Below are 21,457 nucleotides of genomic sequence, written 5' to 3' on the forward strand. Positions count from 1 at the left end.
CTGCACCCATCAACTCGTCATTTACATTAGGTATATCTCGTAATGCTATCGCTCCCCCAGTCCCCCACCCCCTCCCCCTCCGACAAGCCCCAGTGGTTCACACACTACTCTTATCTCTCTGCCCAGATTCCAAACTCCTTAGGAGTAAGACCAGTTTCTTTCATGTATTCATCCCTCCCTCCTCCCTCCTTTGCTTCAGTGAGCACCCTGGAAGCACCAAGGATGTACAAGACTCTGACAGAGACAGACTCTGAATATTCATGATCCCCCACTGTGCCCTACTGCAGCTCTGGGCCCACAGCATGTGGCCCCAAATGCTTGAATTTAACTGAGTTTCTGAGTAACTACTAAAGACTCAGTGTGCAGGCAACAAATGATCGAATTTAACTGAGTTTCTGAGTAACTACTGAAGACTCAGTGTGCAGTCAACAAATGATCTTCACAAGGGGTGTGCTGGCACCATGAGGATCCCACTCTTCCAAAGGAGAGAGCTAGGACCCTTCTTCCTCCACTAGCTTCTGGTGACCCTCACCAGGCTGCTGTGGAAATGGCAAGGCATGGCTTGTCCTGTTGGGGCCTCAGCCACCCTGCCTGGCCTGTGTCTCCAATACCAGCGGCATTTCTGTCCAGCCATCCTGCCCTGCAGCCAGCACAGGGAGGTGTGCATGGAGCACCTGCTGGATTCAGGCCACTGTGCTGGGCACTGGGACCTTGAAGGACACAGAGAGATGCCACTGTCCTCCTGATCTCTGACCATCACCTGGCCTTGTCCAGTCTACAAACCACAGAAAGGTGACCATCCCTGTTTGTCACAGGTGAAACTGACAAGTGAAGGGACTTGCCCAAGGCCACACAGCTGGGTTCAAATGGAGCCTTTGGGCCTTTCATGCAGTGTTTCTCAGCCAAGACCTGACTCCCAGGGAGTTTATACTCCAACATGTTGGGAGACGGGATATAGACAATAAAGATACAAGAGATTTTGGTACATCTGCCATAGGAACTTGAAGCCGAGAGGTAATAACATTCTGAAGGTGGCGAGGTTTGGTCTGAGTTTGAAAAATGAGCATGACACTAACAGGTAGGTATAGACAGCAGGGATTGCAGGGAAAAAGCAGCAGAGGGGGAAGGTATTTGGTGTAAATAGAGGGCACCAAGAAGAGGAGCCCCGCTGGAGGTCACAGCAAAAGTAAGAGACCTAGGTGGGAATGAATGGGGGGGTCCCAGGACATTGGGGCTAAGTTGTTTTGACACTGTGGAGGAAAGTGATCCATTCAAAGTGGAGCCTGAGGAACATAAAAAGGACCTAGACTGGGGAGCACCTGGTCTAGCCAAACTCGCTGCAGAATTCTGAGCACGACAATCCCATTCGGTTTACCAGGCTTGCATTATTTATCACCACCCTTCCCCCCACCGTGAGTATGTACAACAGCCTACCTCACACCCATCAAGGAGGAGCCAATGATAGTGATGATGATGATAGTGACACTCAGAACTTCTGGTACAGAATGCTCTTTTTTTCTCTATGTTCTAAGCATCCATTGCATACAGGATCTCCTCGAATTCTCACAGGGACGTGCACTAAGCAGGTACTAGTATTTCTACTTAACACCTGGATTTGAACCCAGATCTCTGGCTTCAAAATCTGTGCCTTAACCCAGCAGGCTGTTCTGCCCCCCAGTGACCAGCTGATGCAAAGCAATATGCATTCTCAAGCAGCAATTCTTCCTTTACCCTAAGAATGACTCAACTAAAAACTACCCACAACTCAAGTTTTGCTTCTTAATTTGGAATCACAGAATTAAAAGTTTCAACTTTTATCTAAGAACTCTCAGCCCCGTTTTACTGATTGGGAGACTGAGGCCCAGGAAAAAAAATGCCTTGCCTAGAGTTCCGTAGCTTGTTGGGATCTGAGGCAGGCTTTCTGACCTGAGGTCCAGGCCCTCCCGCAAAGGCTCTCAGTGCCTCTGAGGAATTTACCACCTGCTGGCCACACAGGATATAAACACAGAAAGATAATAAAACCAAACAGAAGGGGCTTCTCACAGACTGCTGTTCTTTCCCCTCATACCAGGGATTTTCAAATACAATTTTACCAGCAGATTCTCCCCAACACACAAACAAACACACTTTTCATGAAATGCTATATAGGGCACCTATCTATTTAAAACATAACCATTCTTCTCTGTTCTGATTGGGTAGGATTGAGGGGCCTGGAGCTCTACCTGCTGGGTCTACCCACCCCACTCCCCATATCTCTCCATGGGGTCCCCACATTCCTCTTGAGGAAGCCGTAGGCTCCTCAAAGCACAGTCTGAAAGTTCCTGCATCATCACCTCATGTGTTTGTGTCCCCATTTGCTCACCTTCTTGGATTCTAAAACTCATCTCAAGCACAGTTAGATGTTGACTCCAAGCAGGTAACAAAGTCAGCCGTGGACCACACTGTGATGTTATGAAACTATGCCTTGGAGATGGCAATGCAGGCTCACCCCATGACCTCCCGTGATCCTCGGAACCGTGCTCCATTTTGCAGATGCACAGACTGAGACCCAGACAAACTGCCCACCTGCCTATGGTCCTACAGTTGGTAAGGAGGGGCCTCTGCTGGAGCCTGTGCTGCCTCACTCCAAAACTCACATCCCTGCCTTCAGGAGCCTTCACACTCACACTCCCCCGGCCTTGACTTTGTGCCCTCTGTTCTTGCAGGTAACACGCCCCACAGCGGCAGGTCGTTTGAATCTCTCGTGAATTTTGACAAACTAGACAAGCCCAGGCCCTGCCCCAGATGTACAGAATCAGAAGCTGGGGCTGTGAGTCATTACATCCTGACACGATGACCCACTGTCACTCAGCATAAAACGCAGCAAAAAAGGCCTGGGGTCATTCCAGACCTCTGTTTTGCTTCCCTCCAGCTCTGGTGATGAAGACAGAGACCCAATCCCAAAACAGCAGTGAGCCTGGGCAGAACTTACTGTGTAGAGCTCATTGGTCACCTTCAGGAGCTCCTCGTGCATCTGCAGGCCAATCTCCTTGCTCTGGAATGTGGAAGAACAAATGTCAGCGGGGGAGAAGTTTGCTGGCTACATTTACCAATCTCTTTTCAAAAGCGAAAGGTCAGGAATGTTTCGGGTGGGGTCAGAAGGGGTACAGAAATCAGCATAAATTTCATTGATCTACAACAACATAAATTCCTCAACTATGTCCATGAAACAAACCCACAGAGAGAGGTTCCTTGCAGATGGGATTCCCTGATCATATGAGTTGGAGAACCCTACACATCATTTCCCTACCACAGTGACTCACAGTGACAGTAGCATATTAAAGATGTGGGGAAGCCCCACAGAATTTTTCTTTAATTCTACGTGTACTAAGCTGGTATGACCAGGGTCTGAGCTCCTTGCACAATCCTCATGAATGGCTACAGAGTGGGGTTCCATAGAACACACTTTGAGAAACAATGATTTGGCATCCCAATTCCTCTTGAGAGTAAATGATAATTCTCAAGTCCTCCAGGAAAAATCTCAGGTCCTCCAGAATATGAGTCCCCAGCCTCCAGGCCACAGATCAGTCCATGGCCCACTAAGAACCAGGCCACACAGCAGGAGGTGAGCGGTGGGTGAGCGGGCATTACCATCTGAGCTCCTGTCAGATCAGTGGTGGCATTAGATTCTCATACGTCCTCGAACCCTGGTGTGAACTGCGCATGTGGGGGATCTAGGTTGCACGCTCCTTATGAAAATCTAATGCAGGATGATCTGTCACTGTCTCCCATCACCCCCAGATGAAACCATGTAGTTGCAGGAAAACAAGCTCAGGGCTCAGGGCTCAAACTGATTCTACATTACAGTGAGTTGCATAATTATTTCATTATATATTACAATGCAATAATACAGAAATGAAATACACAATAAATATAATGTGCTTCAATCATCCCGAAACCATCGCCCCACCCTGGTCCATGGAAAAATTGTCTTCCACAAAACTGGTCCCTGGTGCAAAAAAGGTTGGGGACCACTGCTCCAGAAGATGTTTCCTGAAGGCTTGTCTTCCTTGACTGAGAATCAGCAGCTGGCACCCACTTGGACATCGCCTTCCTAGCTTTCAAGGACTGGTTACAACAGATGCCCTAACCTTAGTTTGACTCCAAATTTCAGCTCAGCCCTCCCCAGTGCTGGTCCCCTGGTCTGCCTAATCTCATCTTACCATTGCCTAGATCCTGACACAGTCGCAAGTCCACACTCTCAAGATGTCTCTTCCAATGAGGAACAGGAGAAGTACAGGTTGGCAGAAAGGCCTCTGGGGCACAAGGCAAAAGATCTAGCTTCTCATTTCCACTGTTGGCTGTGTGGCCTTGGAGAATCACTTCCCCCTTTGAGCCTCAGCTACCTCACCTATCAAATAAAAAGCTTAAACTAAAACAATACTTTCCAAAGCATGGTCTGAAGATCACTGCTAGATGCTATGCTAAAAAGGGGGAGCAGGGGCTTCTAAGACTACATGCATTTGAGAAAAAGCTAATTGAACAAAGGTAGACAAGTTTTCTTAATGCAGGACTTCTCAGTGCCTTTCATGTCCTTCCTTGCATGGAGACTTTCTAAGAAGGAGGTATAGTCTGTAGTTTCATTGACCACAGTCCTATTTCCATGAAGTGGCTTTCATGATATTTAAGGACACAATTCAGAAAACAATGAGAAAATTATCTCTAGGTTCCATGCAGCTTGAAGAGTCTAGAATTCTTTGTTATTTTATTTATGATTGTGATTATGATTTTGGTAAATATTCTCTGCTATAATCTGAATGTTTGTGTCTCCCTCAAAATTCCTATTTTGAAATCCTAACCCCCAATGTGATGGTATTAGGAGGTGACGTCTTTGGGAGGTGATTAGGTCATAAGGGTGGAGCCCTCAGGAATGGGATTAGTGCCTGATATGGTTTGAACCTCTGTTCCTGCCAAATCTCATGCTGAAATGTAATTCTCAGCATTGGAGGCAGAGCCTGGCAGGAGATGTTTGCATCATGGGGGTGAACGGCTCAGTGACATCCCCTTGGTGTATTCTGAAGTGTGTGGCACCTGCGCCTCTCACTCTCTCTCTGTTGCTCCCACTCCTGCCTTGTGAAATGCCTGCTCCACCCTCACCTTCTACCATGATTGGAAGCTTCCTGAGATCTCACCAGGAGCAGATGCCTGTGCTATGCTTCCTGTACAGCCTGCAGAACTGTGAGCCAATTAAACCTCTTTTCTTTACAAATTACCCGGCCTCAGGTATTCCTTTACAGCAATGTAAGAACAGACTAATACAATGCCCTTAAAGAGACCCAAGACAGCTACCTTGCCCCTTCCACCATGTGAAGACACAGCAAGAGATTGCCCTCTATGAACCAGGAAGCAAGCTCTCACCAGACATCAAATCTGTCAGTGTCTTGCTCTTAGACTTCCCAGCCTCTAGAACTGTGAGAAATACATTTCTGTTGTTTATAAGTCACCCAGTCTACGGTATTTTGTTATAGACACCTAAAAGGACCAAGACATTCTCCCTGTTTGCCAAGACCATCGTGTTGAGTTTCTGTATCGAAAATGGGAGCCGTGATCTTGGCTCCCTGAGCAGCTGCAGCCTCCTGCTCTTCCTCCCAGTTCCTTCAGCCTCATAGCTGGACCAGCTGCTAATGGGCAAAGAACAGCCTTCCTCTCACCCTTGCAGAGGTGAGAAGCCTCTGAATCCAGTGGTAGCTCATGAAGGCTTAATATCAGAATGATGCCTTCTCAGGCTCCTTCTCCTCACCCCCCACAGCCCTTTCTCTCAGCTTCCGGGCCTGGCTTGCCAAGAATCACCCCTCTGAAGGTGGTCTCTGCTTGTGCCAGACCCCTTAACAGACAGCAGAAACCTCGGAGGCAATTCCAGAGACCTATTTACACCTCCCTCCAGCTTCGAGAGGGTGTGGAGAACCTTCTGTGCAGAGCTCACTGGGGACCTTCAACAGTGTCCTGTGATTTCTGTACTGGTGCTCTATGAACCCAATTAGCTATCCCCATTTCCTATTCTCCATGACTCTCTCAAGTGAACAATCAGTGCCTCAGTTTCCCCTGTGGCCCCTCCCCCTGATGTTTCCCCATCACTGCTGACTCCAGATTCTCTGACACTCTCCAGTGGCCTCCTCTTGGTCCTCAAACTCCCCAACACCTTTGACACCCAAGACCCTATTTCTTATGTGTTTATTTTTATGATCTTTTTACATAGGTAATAAAGGCACATGGTTAAAGAAATTCTAACAGCCAGCAGGTAAAATGGAAAGAATAAGTCTCCCAAGGCTCCTCCTTGTCCAGAGGCAACTGCTACAAAAAATTTCTTCTGATACTTTCCAGAAATAATCTATGAATAAACAAACATATATTTGCATATCATATGTTCTCTCTTAACACAAATGGGAGCATATCATACACACCTTTGCATCTTTTCACTTAACGATATCTCTGAGAAATTTTTCCATCATGTAACTTTTATATCCCCTTTTTTGCACAGCTGCTTGGGATTCCATATACCAGAGGCATCATAATTAATTTAGCCAGCTCCTTAGGGATGGATATTTACATTGCCTCCAGCATCTTATTATCTCAAACATTGATGCTGTGAACATCCTTGTGTGCTGTCACTGTGCATATGGGCAGGGACCCCATCCTAGAGGCAGTTCTGCTGGGAAGAGTCCTGTCTTCAGAATTCCCTCCAGCCTTCCCTTCTTGGTCCCTGCTGCAGCTGGCTCCCTCACACGCTCCTGACTCCAGTTCCCACTTCTTGGTGACCAGAAGCCATGTCATCATCTCCCAGGCCTCTCTCCTGGGTTCTGTCCTGCCCAGGAGACCTTCAGCCCAAGCTCAAAGACCTGTATCCTTAGCTGCTGCAAAACAGTATGGTCTAGATGTCCCCTCATCCCCGCAAACTCAAATTATCCAAAGGTGAACTGTTCCCCCATCCCTTCAATTTTGGTCAATGCGATAGTATCTTCCTGGGCTTGTCAACTGGATACCTAGGAGTTCTATTTGATACTTTGTTTAATCTGTCTTTCTCAATCCAATCTGTTACTGGGTCCTGCCTGCAAACTTTCCAATTATTTGTTGTGAGTAGCAGGCAAGCTGGCCTCCCCCACCTCCCAATATCCATTCTTGCCCTTCCTATTTCCTAAGAGAGCCATGAATTTGCCCAGGAATTCATTCCTCCAGGAGAGTTCTTCAAGGGAAGCTGGAGGCCATCCCAACTCAAGACGGTGGATTCTGGTGTGTGTTATTAGTCCAGAGGTGAGTATGTGACTTAACTGGATGGAAGAGAAAGACTTCTGTGGTCAAATGGAAAGTTTTAGCTTTTCTACTGAGTGCTGGCAAAAAAAGAAAAAAGAAAGAAATGCATGTAGCCCAGTTGCTACCAGCAGGCATCTTAGAACCAAAAGAGGAAGCAGACTTAGGATTAATGACCTTCTGGACAATTGATTGGACTGAAGACCCACAGCCTGCCTCCCAGTGAACTTCCACTTCTGTAGCTTTATTGATCAAGTCACTTTCAGCTGGGGTTTTCTGTTACTTGCAGCCAAAAGCATCCTAAGGGATTCAGTCCTATTTTCCACTACCAGTTCCCGTAGCAAGCATATCATCACCACAGACCCAGATTCACTTTGTTAAGAGGCACCTCTTACCAAAATCCTTAGCTCTTGTGTCTTTGAGTTTACAGTCCATTCTGCAGGCCTGTGCCAGTGAAATTTCCTGGAAATGGACTTATCCTATTCCTCCAAAGCCTCCTCATTGTCTACAGAATCAAGCCCCAGTTCCTTAGCTTGAATTTTGAGTCAAGCTAACTCTACACGACTAGCACAGGCCTGTTGGGCAGCAGAGGGGATGACTTTGGGGGCCACAGAGACCTGGTTTGGAGGCAGGGCTTTCAGTCATTCAACCTATTGGCATCTTAGCTTTCCTGACTGTAAAATGAGCACCTTGTTATGTCTTCTCTGCACTTGTAAATGATCTTGTTTGTTTATTTGTTCATTCATTTATCATTTGCTTCCCTTGCTTCAATGTCAGCCCCATGAGGGCAAAGAGACTTTCTCTCTGGCAATGAATGCTCAGGCAGACAGCCCTCAGCTGAGAGCACCCTACAGGGATGGCCTCAGAGGACACAATGACACCAAGTATACACCTCCTTCTCAGTGTAGTCCTTGCCCAAAGACTGATCATTGTGGGGCAGAGAGGTCAGCCTCTTCCTGTCTCAACTCAGACAGCTCTGAGGAGTCATTCCATCTTCAGAACTCCCTGCTTCTACACTGTTGGTGGGAGTGTAAATTAGTTCAACCATTGTGGAAGACAGTGTGGCAATTCCTCAAAGATCTAAAGTGAAAAATACCATTTGACCCAGCAATCCCATTACTGGGTATATACCCAAAGGAAATATAAATTGTTCTACTATAAAGACACATGCATGTGTATGTTCATTGCATCACTATTCACAATAGCAAAGACTTGGAATCAACCCAAATACCGATCAATGATAGATTAGAAAAAGAAAATATGGTACATATATACCATGGAATACTATGCAGCCATAAAAAAGAATGAAATCATGTCCTTTACAGATATGAATGAAGCTGGAAGCCATTATACTTAGCAAACTAACACAGTAACAGAAAACCAAATACCACATATTCTTACTTATAAGTGGGAGCTAAATAATGAAAACACATTGATACATACAGGGAAAAACACACACTGGGGCCTATCGGAGGATGGATGGTGGGAGGAGGGAGAGGATCAGGAAATATAACTAATGGATACAAGGCTAAAAACCTAGATGATAAAATAATTGGTATAACAAACTCCCATGACACACGTTTACCTATGTAACAAACCTGTACATCCTGTACATGTACCTCTGAACTGAAAATAAAAATTTTAAAAAAGCTCCCCACCAGGCTGGCTAGGACTTCTAGTAAGGCAGCCTGCATCACAGCTCGACCTTACCCTGCTGCCTCACCTGCCTTCCCAAGTGGCTGATCCAGAGAACACTCCTTCATCGTTCCCCTAGAAGCTAAATTCAGATGTCCCAGGGTCTGCTTCCTGGGGGACCCAATCTGCAATATCTTATTTCCCTATTCCTGCATTTCTGCAATGCAACAGAGTCTGCCACAGAGTACGTGCTCATTAAATATGTTTGCTTGGCCAGGCATGGTGGCTCGCACCTGTAATCCCAGCACTTTGAGAGACTGAGGCAGGCAGATGACCTGAGCCCAGGATTCGAGACCAGCCTGGGCAACATGGTGAAACCCTGTCTCTATCAAACATACAAAAAATTAGCCAAGTGTGGTGGCACACACCTGTAGTCCCAAGGGAGGCTGAGTTGGGAAGATCATTTAAGCCTGGTAGGTAGGGGTTGCAGGGAGCTGAGATTGTGCCACTGCATTCCAGCCTGGGTGACAGAATGAGACTGTTTCAAAAAAAAAAAAAAAAAAAAACCATATATACGTATGTGTGTATATATGTGGGTGTGTATATGTGTGTGTGTATATATATAGGTACACACATATCTACATAAATATACACATATATACACCCACATATACATATATGAAATACATATTATATGTATCTGTATATTATATATGTATACATATATACACACACATCTACACATATACATATAATATGTATTTTATATGTATATATGTATTACATATACATATAATATGTATTTTATATGTATATATGTATTACATATACATATAATATACATATACATATAGGTATAGTACATATGTATACATACTATACACATATGTATATTATGGACAAGGCTAGGAAGTTGCCCAGAGAAGGGAATATAAAATTGAATTTTTTAGTAACTCTTCCCTTAAGAATCTCCCAGTTTGCTGGGGTAGAGTCAAGAACACAATTCTAAGGCAGGAGGCGGAAAGGGCCATACAAGAGTAAATATACATATACGTATATTATGTATGCATATGTAACATACATATACATATAAAATACACATTATATGTATATGTGTATATATGTGTGTATATATATTTATATGTGTGTGTGTATATATATGTGTTTGCTGAATGAATCTATGAACGAATGAAGTGACAGTTCCTCTAAGACTTAGTTTCCTTATCTGTAAAAGTGAGATGATGTCATGGGTCTCATGGAGTCCCTGTGAGCATGAAAAGAGATAACACACATGGCAGCACCTAGCACCATATGAGGCACAGATGAAGTCCCGGGGAAATAGCAGTACAGGCTGAATCAACACCCACGAGATGCCAAGGACAAGGCTAGGAAGTTGCCCAGAGAAGGGAATATAAAATCAAATTTTTTAGTAACTTTTCCCTTAAGAATCTCCCAGTTTGCTGGGGTAGAGTCAAGAACACAATTCTAAGGCAGGAGGCGGAAAGGGCCATACAAGAGTAAAGGATGGTGTGATGTGAGATGAAGTGATGAAGAGGATTAAGGGGATACTTCCAAGGCCTTCTTAGCTTGCATGAATGGCTGGAGACAGCCTTCTAGGCAGGAGGCACGGAGACTGGGGATGGTGAAAAGACTGGTTCATGAAGAGAGAAGCTCGGCCACAGGTGAGCAGGAGATAAGCCTGAGACAGAGGTTGGGTCAGATCACAGAGGCGGATAGAGTACAGGCTTCCTTCAGAGCAGGACTGGGAACTACTGAGGGTTGTTGAGCAGAAGTTTAAGATGACCAGGGCTACGCTTCAGGAAGGTGAAGACACCAGTGAATGGAGGGTGGGATGAATGGGAGGAGCTGGAGATCGGGTTCTTGTATCTCTTCCCCAGGACTGTAAGCCGCCAGAGGGAACCAGCCCAGGCCTCTCTGCTCACCAACTCCCCAGTATCAAGCCCTGGACTGGCCACAGAGTAAATGCTCAGCAAATACTCAATTGCACAAGACTCAAAGGCGTTCTTTCTATTTTTGGCTGGGGTTGATTGGGAAGGGAAATATTCTCAACTATGGTTCCAGAAACTACTGAATGAGGAACTCAAACCAAACTTTTCACCAGGAACAGGAAACCCAAACCCTGTGATCTCCAGCGACACCATACCCAGCCCTTAGGAACCTAAGTGATAATGTATTCGCTCTCACTGCCCACATTTTCCACACTACTTTCATGCCTGCAGGGGTCAGGGTGGCAGGCTGCTTCCTTCATGCACAGGGAGTGTGTGGACAGTGGAAAACGGTGACATGGGGCCAAGGAGGGCTCAGCCATGGCAGCTATGGCTCCTCCAGATTGACGGAGCACAGCCCTGTCTTTCACGCTCAAATAAGCCAGTAAAATGAGGCTGACCAATCTCAAGAGCCAGCCATCATGAATGCAGGGAACCCCAGCCCTGCCTGGTTCCTTTGCCTCTTTGCCTGTAGCTAAAGCCAGTTCAGCTCCCTTAGGGCCAGGCATTCTCTGTCCTGTGTATAGGATGTTTAGGAGCATCACTGGCCTCCACCCGTGAGAGGCCAGTAGCATTCCCTACCCCCAACCCCCAGTGTGACAACCAAAATTACCTCCAGACATTGCCAGGTGTTCCCTGGGGGATAAAACTCCCCCTCTCCTGCCCAATTGAGAAATAGTACCTTGGAACAAGGCTTCCAAGTGGCAGCTTCTCTGGCCTGCAGACATGTTTTGTTTGGCCATTCAGTGCTTTCAGAGCATCTGGATGCTTTCCCAGTGTTGAAAACTCAGGAAATTTCCTGCACAAGTCCTGATTTTCAGCGTCTCTGGTAATTCTAGAAGATCCAGCAATGCCGAGCCCCTGTTTCAAGTACGGTGGCCCCTTCGGTACGGGCTTGTGCTACTGCTGGTCCAGGTGACCACAGTGCCCAGCTTCTCCCTCCACCCAGCCATGTCCTCCGTACAGCCCACAGATGTATTTTAGTTTATGACCAGACACTGGTGAGGTCTCTCAGGAAAGGGGTGGCCTCTTATCCCTCTGTGGTCCATGTTTCACTAGCTTTGATTCCATTTACACGGGTGTTTATTGACTACCCAGTATATACCAGCCTAAACTAGGCACTAACGACACAAAGCTGAATGAGACACGGTCCCTGCTCTCAAGCCTCCCAAAGTGCTGGGATTACAGGTATGAGTCACGGTGCCTGGCCCCATTTGTTGAATACTATCCAAAGTCACTCCCATGTGTTATCTAATTTAAATATTTACAGGAACTGCTATAAGTATTCCCACTTGACAGATAAGTGGGGTGGGCGGGGGGGGGGGGGGGGCTGGAGGCTCAGAATGGCTGAGCAACTTCCCCAAGGTTGCACAGCTAGAAAGTGGCAGAGCCAAGATTCATCTTTTTGATTGGTCTGACTCCAAAGTTGGCACTCATAGCAACTTACTATAATCTGCTTCCTTAGGACCTAGTTCAAGATGCAGACACACAGTGAAAAAAAGTCATCACAATGCTGTAATGGAGATGAGTCCAGACCACAAGGAAAGTACAAAGGAGGCCCTGCCCTCCAGACACCACCTACCTGTCCAATGCACTTTCTTATCACCTGTGCAGAAATCTGCATCTCTGGGCCTTGCCCCAACTTACAAGCAGATCTCATCCTCTTTAGCTACACCTGCTCTGCTAGGAATAAACCAGACATGGTCATGTCTTGCTTCTCCCTTCCTCCTTCTACTAACAGAAGATGAGATGTTGGTGGAACAGGCTCCTGTTTGCCTGGCCACACAAGATCATCAGGCAGGGGCAGGGTCTGACCAGGCTCCAGCTCCTTGCCTTCAGTGATCAGATCAGAGACAAACACGTGTTCCAGGCTAAGCCAATGAAGAATCTTCTTTGGGACGTTTCTCATAACCACACTCTCAGATCATTTCTCCCCGGGGGTTGCTAAAAGGGTCTTCAGGAGTCTTGCACTGCCTGCAGTACCAGGCCCACTACGGCAGACAGCCAGAGCCTTTCCGTCCCTAGATCTAGTGGTGCCTAAACAAGATTCACCTCTGGACTTCATCAGTTTACAGGATCCCATACATTTTCATTTTTGCTTATTTGAAAAAATACTAACGTAATCCATGCTTATGTCAGTCTGTAGATACCGAAATGACCACTGAATGAGACGGCCTTCTGAAAACGCTCCACCAAGCATCAGCTTTCAAAGAGTTCCTGCAAAAGGACTAATTTCCCAACAATTAGAGCACACGCACCCTAAAGACCAGATCCCTGGCTTTAAAGAGTTTCCCACAATGCCGATTACGAAGACCTGCATACAAAAGGAGCTCTGTAAATGCCTGTGGATGAGCTCAGCATTGTGCAGAGCAGTAGGAAACTAGAGAGGAGTAAAGGATGGTCACCCATAACCCTTATTTCTTTGCACAAAAAAAAAAAATCAAGTGAACATTAATTCATGTCAAGATGAAATCAGCTGATGAAGTTCTTGACATACACAGCTCTGAATTAAATCATTTCCTTTGCCATGAAAATCTTGCTCTGTATGATTTGATTTTGTTTTCAATGCAGGGATCATCATGCTTTTTAGGGAAAACTCTCAAAAACCTCACAGTAGGTCCTAAGACTTTATGAGTTACATTTGAAAAGCTCTATTTCTTTTGTTGTTGTTTTTGTGAGATGGTGTCTTGCTTTGTCACCCAGGCTGGAGTGCAGTGGTGCAATCTCAGCTCACTGCAACCTCCATCTCTTGGGTTCAAGGGATTCTCCTGCCTCAGCCTCCCAAGTAGCTGGGATTACTGGCATGCACCACCACACCTAGCTAATTTTTGTATTTTTAGTAGAGACAGGTTTTCACCATGTTGGCCAGGCTGGTCTTGAACTCCTGACCTCAGGTGATCCACCCGCCTCAACCTCCCAAAGAGCTGGGATTACAGGCATGAGCCACCATGCCCAGCCTGAAAAGCTCTGTTTTTAAAGGGCGTGTGTCTATCTCCCTCAAAATAACTCAAAGACGGGTCATTTCCAGAGCTAATGTCATTCTCTATGTCTAAAAAAAAAATACCATCTTAAAATGTTGAGTTTTAAGAACAAGACCTCTCACACACACACACATACACACACACATACGCCCTTTCATTTCTCCCAATGACACCATCCTAAACAATCTTTTAGAAAATTGTAATGCAGGAGTAAGACAGGTGGCCTTTGTTAACTCTCAGTTATCCGTGCTGGGCCTCTCTTCTCCTGTCTCATCAAACCCTGCGTCAGCCAGCCCCCTGTCTCTCTTTTCTCACTCTTTGCTTGAGTAGATGTTCTCATGTTGGGTTACTCTTAGGGACATTTCATGATTTTCCTAATTCTGGGATTCAAAAACAACAACAGGAAACAAATACAACTCAACAACAACAACAACAACAACAAAATCCTTTGTCTCTTTCAGTCCTAAATGCCGACAGATCCTACCCACTTCTTCTCCACACTCTGGCTTGTTTTCTCATCAAATCACAAAACTTGAGACCCACAGATGTTCCCTATTTAAATACATGATGTATGTAAGCACGGGCCATCTCCCAAAGTGATTGTGTTTTTATTTCCAAAACAAAGGCTTAAAAGGCATGTCTCAGAGGATCAGGCTTCTCCAGCCTGTGCTGGAAGGTCCACGTACCCCTGAACACAGCAGCTCCAACAGTTAACGGCTCACTCCCATTCCTAGCCAGGACTTTGGTTGCCAATAACCGGGCTATCGGCTCTCCATCCCGGCGCCAACCTCTGCTTTCAAACATCCTCCTTAGCCGGGTTCCTGCCCACCCTCTATCCTGATCCTTGTTATTCTTCCCCTCTGCCTCCCATTTTCTTCCTTTCCCTGCTCCTGAACTCATCCCTGTTCTCTTTCCCTTCCCACACTAATTTATGCCTCCTGTTGCTGAACTCCAAATGTTGTCATCTACTCATTTTTCAAGAATGCAGATTCGAGTCCTTAGGTCTTCCTACTGTTGCCAGGGCTGGTATATTGGACTGCAAAGAAGCAGGAAGGCCTTGGAACCACCTGGACGTTCTTGGCAGTGGTGAGCCTCACTCATGCACACCCGGGAGCCCAGGCATGCACGGAGGCAGTGAGTCTAGCACCGTGGCCAGCATTTCCTTTCCCTGCAATTACTCCCAGGCTTACTTTGGGACCCTGTTTATGCTGAAAGCTTCACTTTCAGAACTGCTTTACGTAACAGGCCTGAGGAAGTCCAAGGATACCTCGGAATGGTTATGAAAAGTGACCTGACATGGTCAGGCTAGGAGTTTCTGGATCTCTACGGATAATACTAAATATTATTAATAATGGTAATACTTATTAATAATAAGTCTTAGTACAATTACTACTAATACTATGTGCTTATAATACATACCATTGTGGATAATAACAATAATAGTTATTGTTTCTTGATGTCTTAGCACGTGCCAAGCACAATGCTAACTGCTTTATGAGACAATACCTCATGTAAGCCTAAGATCAGCCCTTTATTCGAGGCACTATTGTTGAACCTATTTTGAAGATTAGAACACAGAGGCTCAGGAAGGGTGAGTAATTTGCCCAAGGCCATAGAGCTAGTGAATGTGATATTCTCAACCAAGCTGCCTCCACTGGGAAAGTTAGCTCTCTAAGCACCTTTAAGGTCTTCTTTCCCTAAACATCTAAAAATAATTCTAAAACATGAAAACTCTTCTGCCTTAGTATAGAAAGCATATTGATATTTACAAGGCTCTGCTTTAGATCATCATAAATGTCAGATAACATACAGTGCCCCGTGCCATTTTGCAGAATCTCCTGTCATCTGTTACTCAATCCTGTCCCACCCTGGCTTCCAAGTCGAGGTAGCTGGGGATGGTGTGGAAAGTTGGGCTGAATCTCTGTGGGCCCAGAACATATTCACATACTCAGGAGTAATCTTTCTTGATTGTGTCCCTGATGTCGATGTTTTATATACATATTCTCTCTCTCTCTCTCTCTCTAAGAGTCACTCACAGATCAGGAACTATGGTTGAGGGTAAGATGAGAGCCTGCATGCATGTCATGGGAAGTGACAGGGCTGTCTTCCTGAAAAGCCAGTATCTATGAAAACCTGAAGCTGCTCAGTTTTGAGAGGCTTTCTCCCTCTCTACATTATCTTCAGGATGACTATGGATGTTGTTAGGCTTATTTGTTGGTTTCAAAACATTATTGATCACTTATTACTGCTGAATCACTGACTTGAGACATCACTTTAACCTCTTTGTCATTTTATAACCTGATCTTCTGTTTCACTTGAATTATTTGTGGACAGGATGTAAATGAGGTTTGCATTGGCATTTCAAAAATGTCTCTACCTATGTATTCACCCATCTATCCACCTCTCCACCCATTTGCCCATCCACTCATATACTCACCCACCCATCCATTTATCCATCCACCCATCTATCCATCAACCTACCCATGCATTCATCCATCCTTTCTTTCATCCATCCATCTACCCATCAACCCACTCATCCACTCATCCATCCGTTCATTCATCCATCCATATACCCATCAACCCACTCATCCACTCATCCATCCATTCATCCATCCATCCATCCATCAACCCACTCATCCATTCATCCATCTTTCCTTTCCTTCCTTCCCATTCCTTTATCAATCTCCCTGATCCAGTCCCCATTATCTTTCACCACTAATATGTATACAAGTGTATATGTATAATAACATGCACCGTCCATCCAAAATCTCTTTTCAAAGCCATTAAACATACCATATCAAATTAATCATCCTTCAACTTGTCTCTGCTCATTTCACTCCCCATTCAAGAACCTTCAATGGATCTCTAATGTCTAGAAAATAAATCCCAGCTTCTCACTCTGACACCCAAAGGCTTCCTTGACCTGTCTCCAACCTGACTTTCCTTATTTTTACCTTTAATTTCCATTTTCCAACATCTAAAACATGCAGAAAAGGAGAGCGAACAATAACAAACACCCAGGAACACATCACTCAAATTAGATAACAAAATTTTGTTATTTTTGCTTCAAAATTATTTTTAGGAAGCAAAATGTTATAGATACACTAGAAATGTTCTTGGTCTCCTTCCTTCCTCCCTCTTTCCTCAATTATAATTCTGACACTGCTGTGTATTCTTACACATTCTACATTTGCATAGCTTTATTTCAGCCAGGTGTCTAACCATATGAACCATATAAACTATTCATCTGTGTTCCAAGTTTTATAAAAATATCATACTGTACCTTACTTTTTTCACCCAACATTAAGTTTTCAAGCTTTATTCACATTGATACTTGTAGATCTAGCTCCTCTTCACTATTGTATAAGATTCCATGGTGCAACTACCCACAACCTATTTAACCATTTCCCTAGCGATGGACATTTAGGTTATTTCTCTGTTTCTCTATTAGAAACACCACTGCAGCAAACATTCTCATACAGTTTTGTGTGTGAGCAGATACGCTAGAATATCTTTGGGTTATATTTAGAAGTAAAATTGTTGGGTCAAAAGGTCCATACCCCTTCCAGCACTGTTACTAGATACTGCCTGATTGTTCTCTCAAGGAGCTGGACTTATTTACATGTTTCCTGGGAACGCATGAGGGTCCTGAGGCTCCACATTCTTGCCAGCACTTAGGATTGTTTTACCTACCAACTGGGAGTCAGATTGTATCTCATTTTGTTTTATTTTACCTTTTCCTGATTACCAGTAATTGTGAGCATCTTTTCTTATATCACTGACCATTGAAGTTTCACTTTTTAATTTTTTTTCTTAGGCAGGGTCTTGCTCGGTTGCCCAGGCTGGAGTGCAGTAGTGTAATCATAGCTCACTGCAGCCTCAACCTCCTGGGCTCAGGAGATCCTCCCACCTCAGCCTCCTGAGTAGCTGAGACCACAAGCACACACCACCACACCTGGCTAATTTTTTTAACATTATTATCTGTAGAGTTGGGGTCTCCCTATATTGCCCAGGCTTGTCTTCAACTCCTGGCCTCAAGCAATCCTCCCACCTCAGCCTCCCGAAGTGCTGAGATTACAGGTGTGAGCCGCACCTGTAATCCCAGACCATATCCGGCCTAAATTTCACTTTCTGTGGCTTATCAATTTTTATCACTTACCTGTTTCTACTGGGTTGTTTTTCCTTTTCTTATTAATTTGTAAGAGCTGATTTTATATTCTGGGTGTTAACCTTTTATTGATTCTGTGTATGCCAAATATCTTCTCCTTGTCTTGGCCATATTTTCTATTTATTTATTGTTGTATGGAAGATTTTTTATTTTTATATATGAAATTAATCAATATTTTCTTTTATGGTTTGTGCTTTCTAATGTTTTCTTTAAGCAGCCTTTTCCTACACCAAGGTTTTAAATATTAAATGTAATCTACATTGTCTTTCCAAAGTCTTGAAGTGTTGCTTTTTACCTTTAGCACCTTAAGCTTTCCAGAATAAATTTCTGTAAACTAAGGTAAAGGCCTTATATTTTTCCATATGAGGAAAGTATATGTTTATGTATATATAAAATTAGCTCTTACAAATAATAAGAAAAGGACAATCAGTTGAATCAGCCCCATTTACTAAGTAGTCATCCTTTTCCCTTTGATCTGTAATGCACCACTGTCGTTTACCAAGTTTCCATTTATGGAGGGCTCTCTTTCTGGGCTCTCTTCTGTCCAATTGATCAGTTTGTCTAGCCCTGCTCTAGTAATGTCTGACTATCACTCCAGAGGAAGCCTTGATATCTGATAAGGCCAATCCTCCAACAAATACCAAAAAATGTATAACCTTGCGAGGTACAGTGGCTCATGCCTATAATTCCAGCACTTTGGGAGGCTGAGATGGGAGGATTGCTTGAGGCCAGGAGTTCAAAACCAGCCTGGGCAACAAAGTGAGACCCTGTCTGTACAAAAACTGGAAAAAAAAAATTGCAGGGTGTGGTGGCATACTCCTGCAGTCCCAGCTACTCAGCAGGCTAAGGCAAGAGGATTTCTTGAGCCCAGGAGTTCGAGGCTGCAGTGAGCTATGATCACACCACTGCACTCCAGCCTGGGCAACAGAGTGAAACCCATCTCAAAAAAACAAACAAACAAAACAAAACACAAAAAACAAAAATAAATCTTTATTGTCTTAATTTTCTTATTATGATCCAATAAATTCAGAAACTAAAAATAAGAAGGCTTTAGAAAAAAACCTTTGAAATTATTTTTTTAAAAACCCAAACCTAATTCTGAATAATTTGTAGTCAAAGAAATCATAATGAAAATTATGAAATATTTATATATGAATGACAATGACAGCATCACTTATCAAAACTTCTGGGATGCAGCTAATTTGTAGCCTCAATGGCATCAATTTTCAATTATTCTCGTTTTCTAATGTATGCATTTCAATGACATTTTCTAATTGGATGTGGCTGGCACACAGAAGCATTATTAACTTCTGTATATTAATCTTTAAGCAGCCATCTTGCTGAACTCTCTTCAGCAGCAAGTGTGACTTGCTCTTGGCTTTGATAATACCTTTTATCAGGCGGAGTTCCTATTTATTCCTAATTTGCTAAGAGTTTTTGTCTTAAATGATGAAAAATCAGAAGCATGCCTTTTAAGAGTCAAGGGTGCCACTTCCCTCCACACGGCACTGGATGAAGGTCCTAGCCAAGACAATAAGGCAAGAAAAAGAAATTAGAGGTTATAAAAGAAGAGACAAGACCACCATCATTTAGAACTAATCAGTGAGTGGTTCCTGAGCATATTTTCTTATTTCTGATCCTTTGTTTAACCTGTATGCCCTGAAAAAATTCTTCCTTCATCCCATCTCCAATCTCATTCTCATTAAATTTCTTCTCAAAGTCCAAATAATCATCCTAATAATAGCTAATATATAATATATTATTATATATTATATATAATAGCTAATTATATATTTTTTACATTATTTTGTATATATATATATATATATATATATATATATATATATATATATACACATACACACACATATATATATATTAGAGACAGGGTCTCTCTCTATTGTCCAGGCTGGAGTACAGTGGTACAATCTTGGCGCACTGCAGCCCCAAAATCCCAGGCTTAAGCAATCCTCCAGCCTCAGCCTTGCAAGTAGCTTGGACTACAGGCATGAACCACCACACCTGGCTAATTTTTAATTTTTCTGTAGAGATGCGGTATTGCTATGCTGCCCAAGCTGGTCTCAAGCTCCTGGCCTCAAGCAATCCTTCCACCTTGGCCTCCCAAAGCTCTGGGGTTACAGATGTGAGCCACCATGCCTGGCCTAATCGCTATAATATTATTTATAGATTGTTTATTGTGTACCAGGTAGACATTTCATATCATTTTTTAGTCCTTACAACAACCTTTTGATGGAGGCTATTATTAGCTCCACTTTGAAAATGACAAAACTGAGAGAGTTTAAGGGATTAGGTGGAGCTCACACAGCAGGAAAGTGGCAAAACAGAGATGAAATCAGAGTCCGGCCCCAGCCTTGGCCACTGCACTAGACTACCCACCTCTTCGTGATCCAGGACCCAGACTTTCCTCCCACTGGCCTCTGCTTTGGTGTGGATTCCGTCTCCCACCTTCCCCAAATCTCTGCACATCTGTTGTGGACGCTGTGACGCACCACTCAGATCCCCTTCGGGCCTGGGGAACGTATTCCCCCAGCTGCAGGAAAGTGCTGCCAATGGACTCCCTCAGATGTCAGCTGCTTTGGAACTGCCTTGGCTGCACAGGCATCATCTGCTCAAGCCCACAGCCTCTTTTAGAGGGAGCCCACATCCAATGACTACCCAACAGGAGGGTTTAAAGGCTCAGCCTCCTCGCTGTAGCTCAGGACAACTCTGAAGGGCCATCCCAGCTCCCCAGCATCCTTAAGACTGCACCACAGTCCGACTTCTCGGTTTGCTAACTCCTACTTTCCTCCCTTTTTTTCTGCAGGAGGGAATCCCAAGTATCCTCCCTGATACACCCCTGCACCGAAATACAGTCTCAGAGCTGGCTTCCCAGGGAACCCTGGTGATAGATCCTAATTATTTGAGGCTCGCTTCAAATGCTGCTTCCCCCACCTCTAACCTTACCCAAACCTCCCCCTCCCAGGTTAGAAGTTCTCCCTCTGAACAAACTTCTGTGGTGATAACCATCCCTCTCTGCTGTATCTGAATGAGTTACCGCTTCACACCTGTCTCTGCTTTCAGACTGCACTGGAAGCTCCTTGAGGGAGAGGAGGACATTGTGTCTGAGTCGTTTATCTAACTACTTCACTTTGTTTTAATTAATTTTTTTGAGACAAGGTCTCACTCTGTCACCCAGTGCAATGCAGTGATCACAGCTCACAGCAGCTTCAACTTCCTGGACTCAAATGATCCTCCTGCCTCAACCTCCCGAGTAGCTGGGACCACAGGCAAATGCCACCACGCCTGGATAATTTACCTTTTGTAGAGACAAGGTGTCCCTGTTTTCCAGGCTGGTCTCAAACATCTGAGCTCAAGCGATCCTC

The 21,457-nt window shown here is 44.4% G+C and overlaps 1 protein-coding gene across 14 annotated transcripts in view, besides 1 other annotated feature; it reads right to left on the reverse strand.

The window, feature by feature from the left end:
* The window catches only part of SRGAP3 (SLIT-ROBO Rho GTPase activating protein 3), a 382,437-nt gene that overhangs the window by 96,463 nt on the left and 264,517 nt on the right, over nt 1-21,457 (reverse strand). For 11 of the 14 annotated variants that reach the window (XM_024453843.2, XM_047449336.1, NM_001033117.3 and 8 more), the window contains one exon: nt 2,972-3,034. The exons of the other annotated variants lie outside the window; for them this stretch is intronic. In XM_024453843.2, coding sequence (XP_024309611.1) covers nt 2,972-3,034 — 63 coding nt within the window. The remainder of the gene's footprint in view (nt 1-2,971; nt 3,035-21,457) is intronic. 14 annotated transcript variants of the gene reach the window in all.
* Nucleotides 630-1,130: an enhancer, noted in NCBI's record as "H3K4me1 hESC enhancer chr3:9119367-9119867 (GRCh37/hg19 assembly coordinates)". NCBI's record gives its function as "activates a minimal SCP1, AML or CMV promoter by ChIP-STARR-seq in primed H9 embryonic stem cells {active_cell/tissue: H9 hESC(primed)}" and the evidence as "EXISTENCE:reporter gene assay evidence [ECO:0000049][PMID:30033119]".

The sequence above is a fragment of the Homo sapiens genome, chromosome 3 (assembly GCF_000001405.40).
Source record: "Homo sapiens chromosome 3, GRCh38.p14 Primary Assembly".
Classification (NCBI taxonomy): domain Eukaryota; kingdom Metazoa; phylum Chordata; class Mammalia; order Primates; family Hominidae; genus Homo; species Homo sapiens.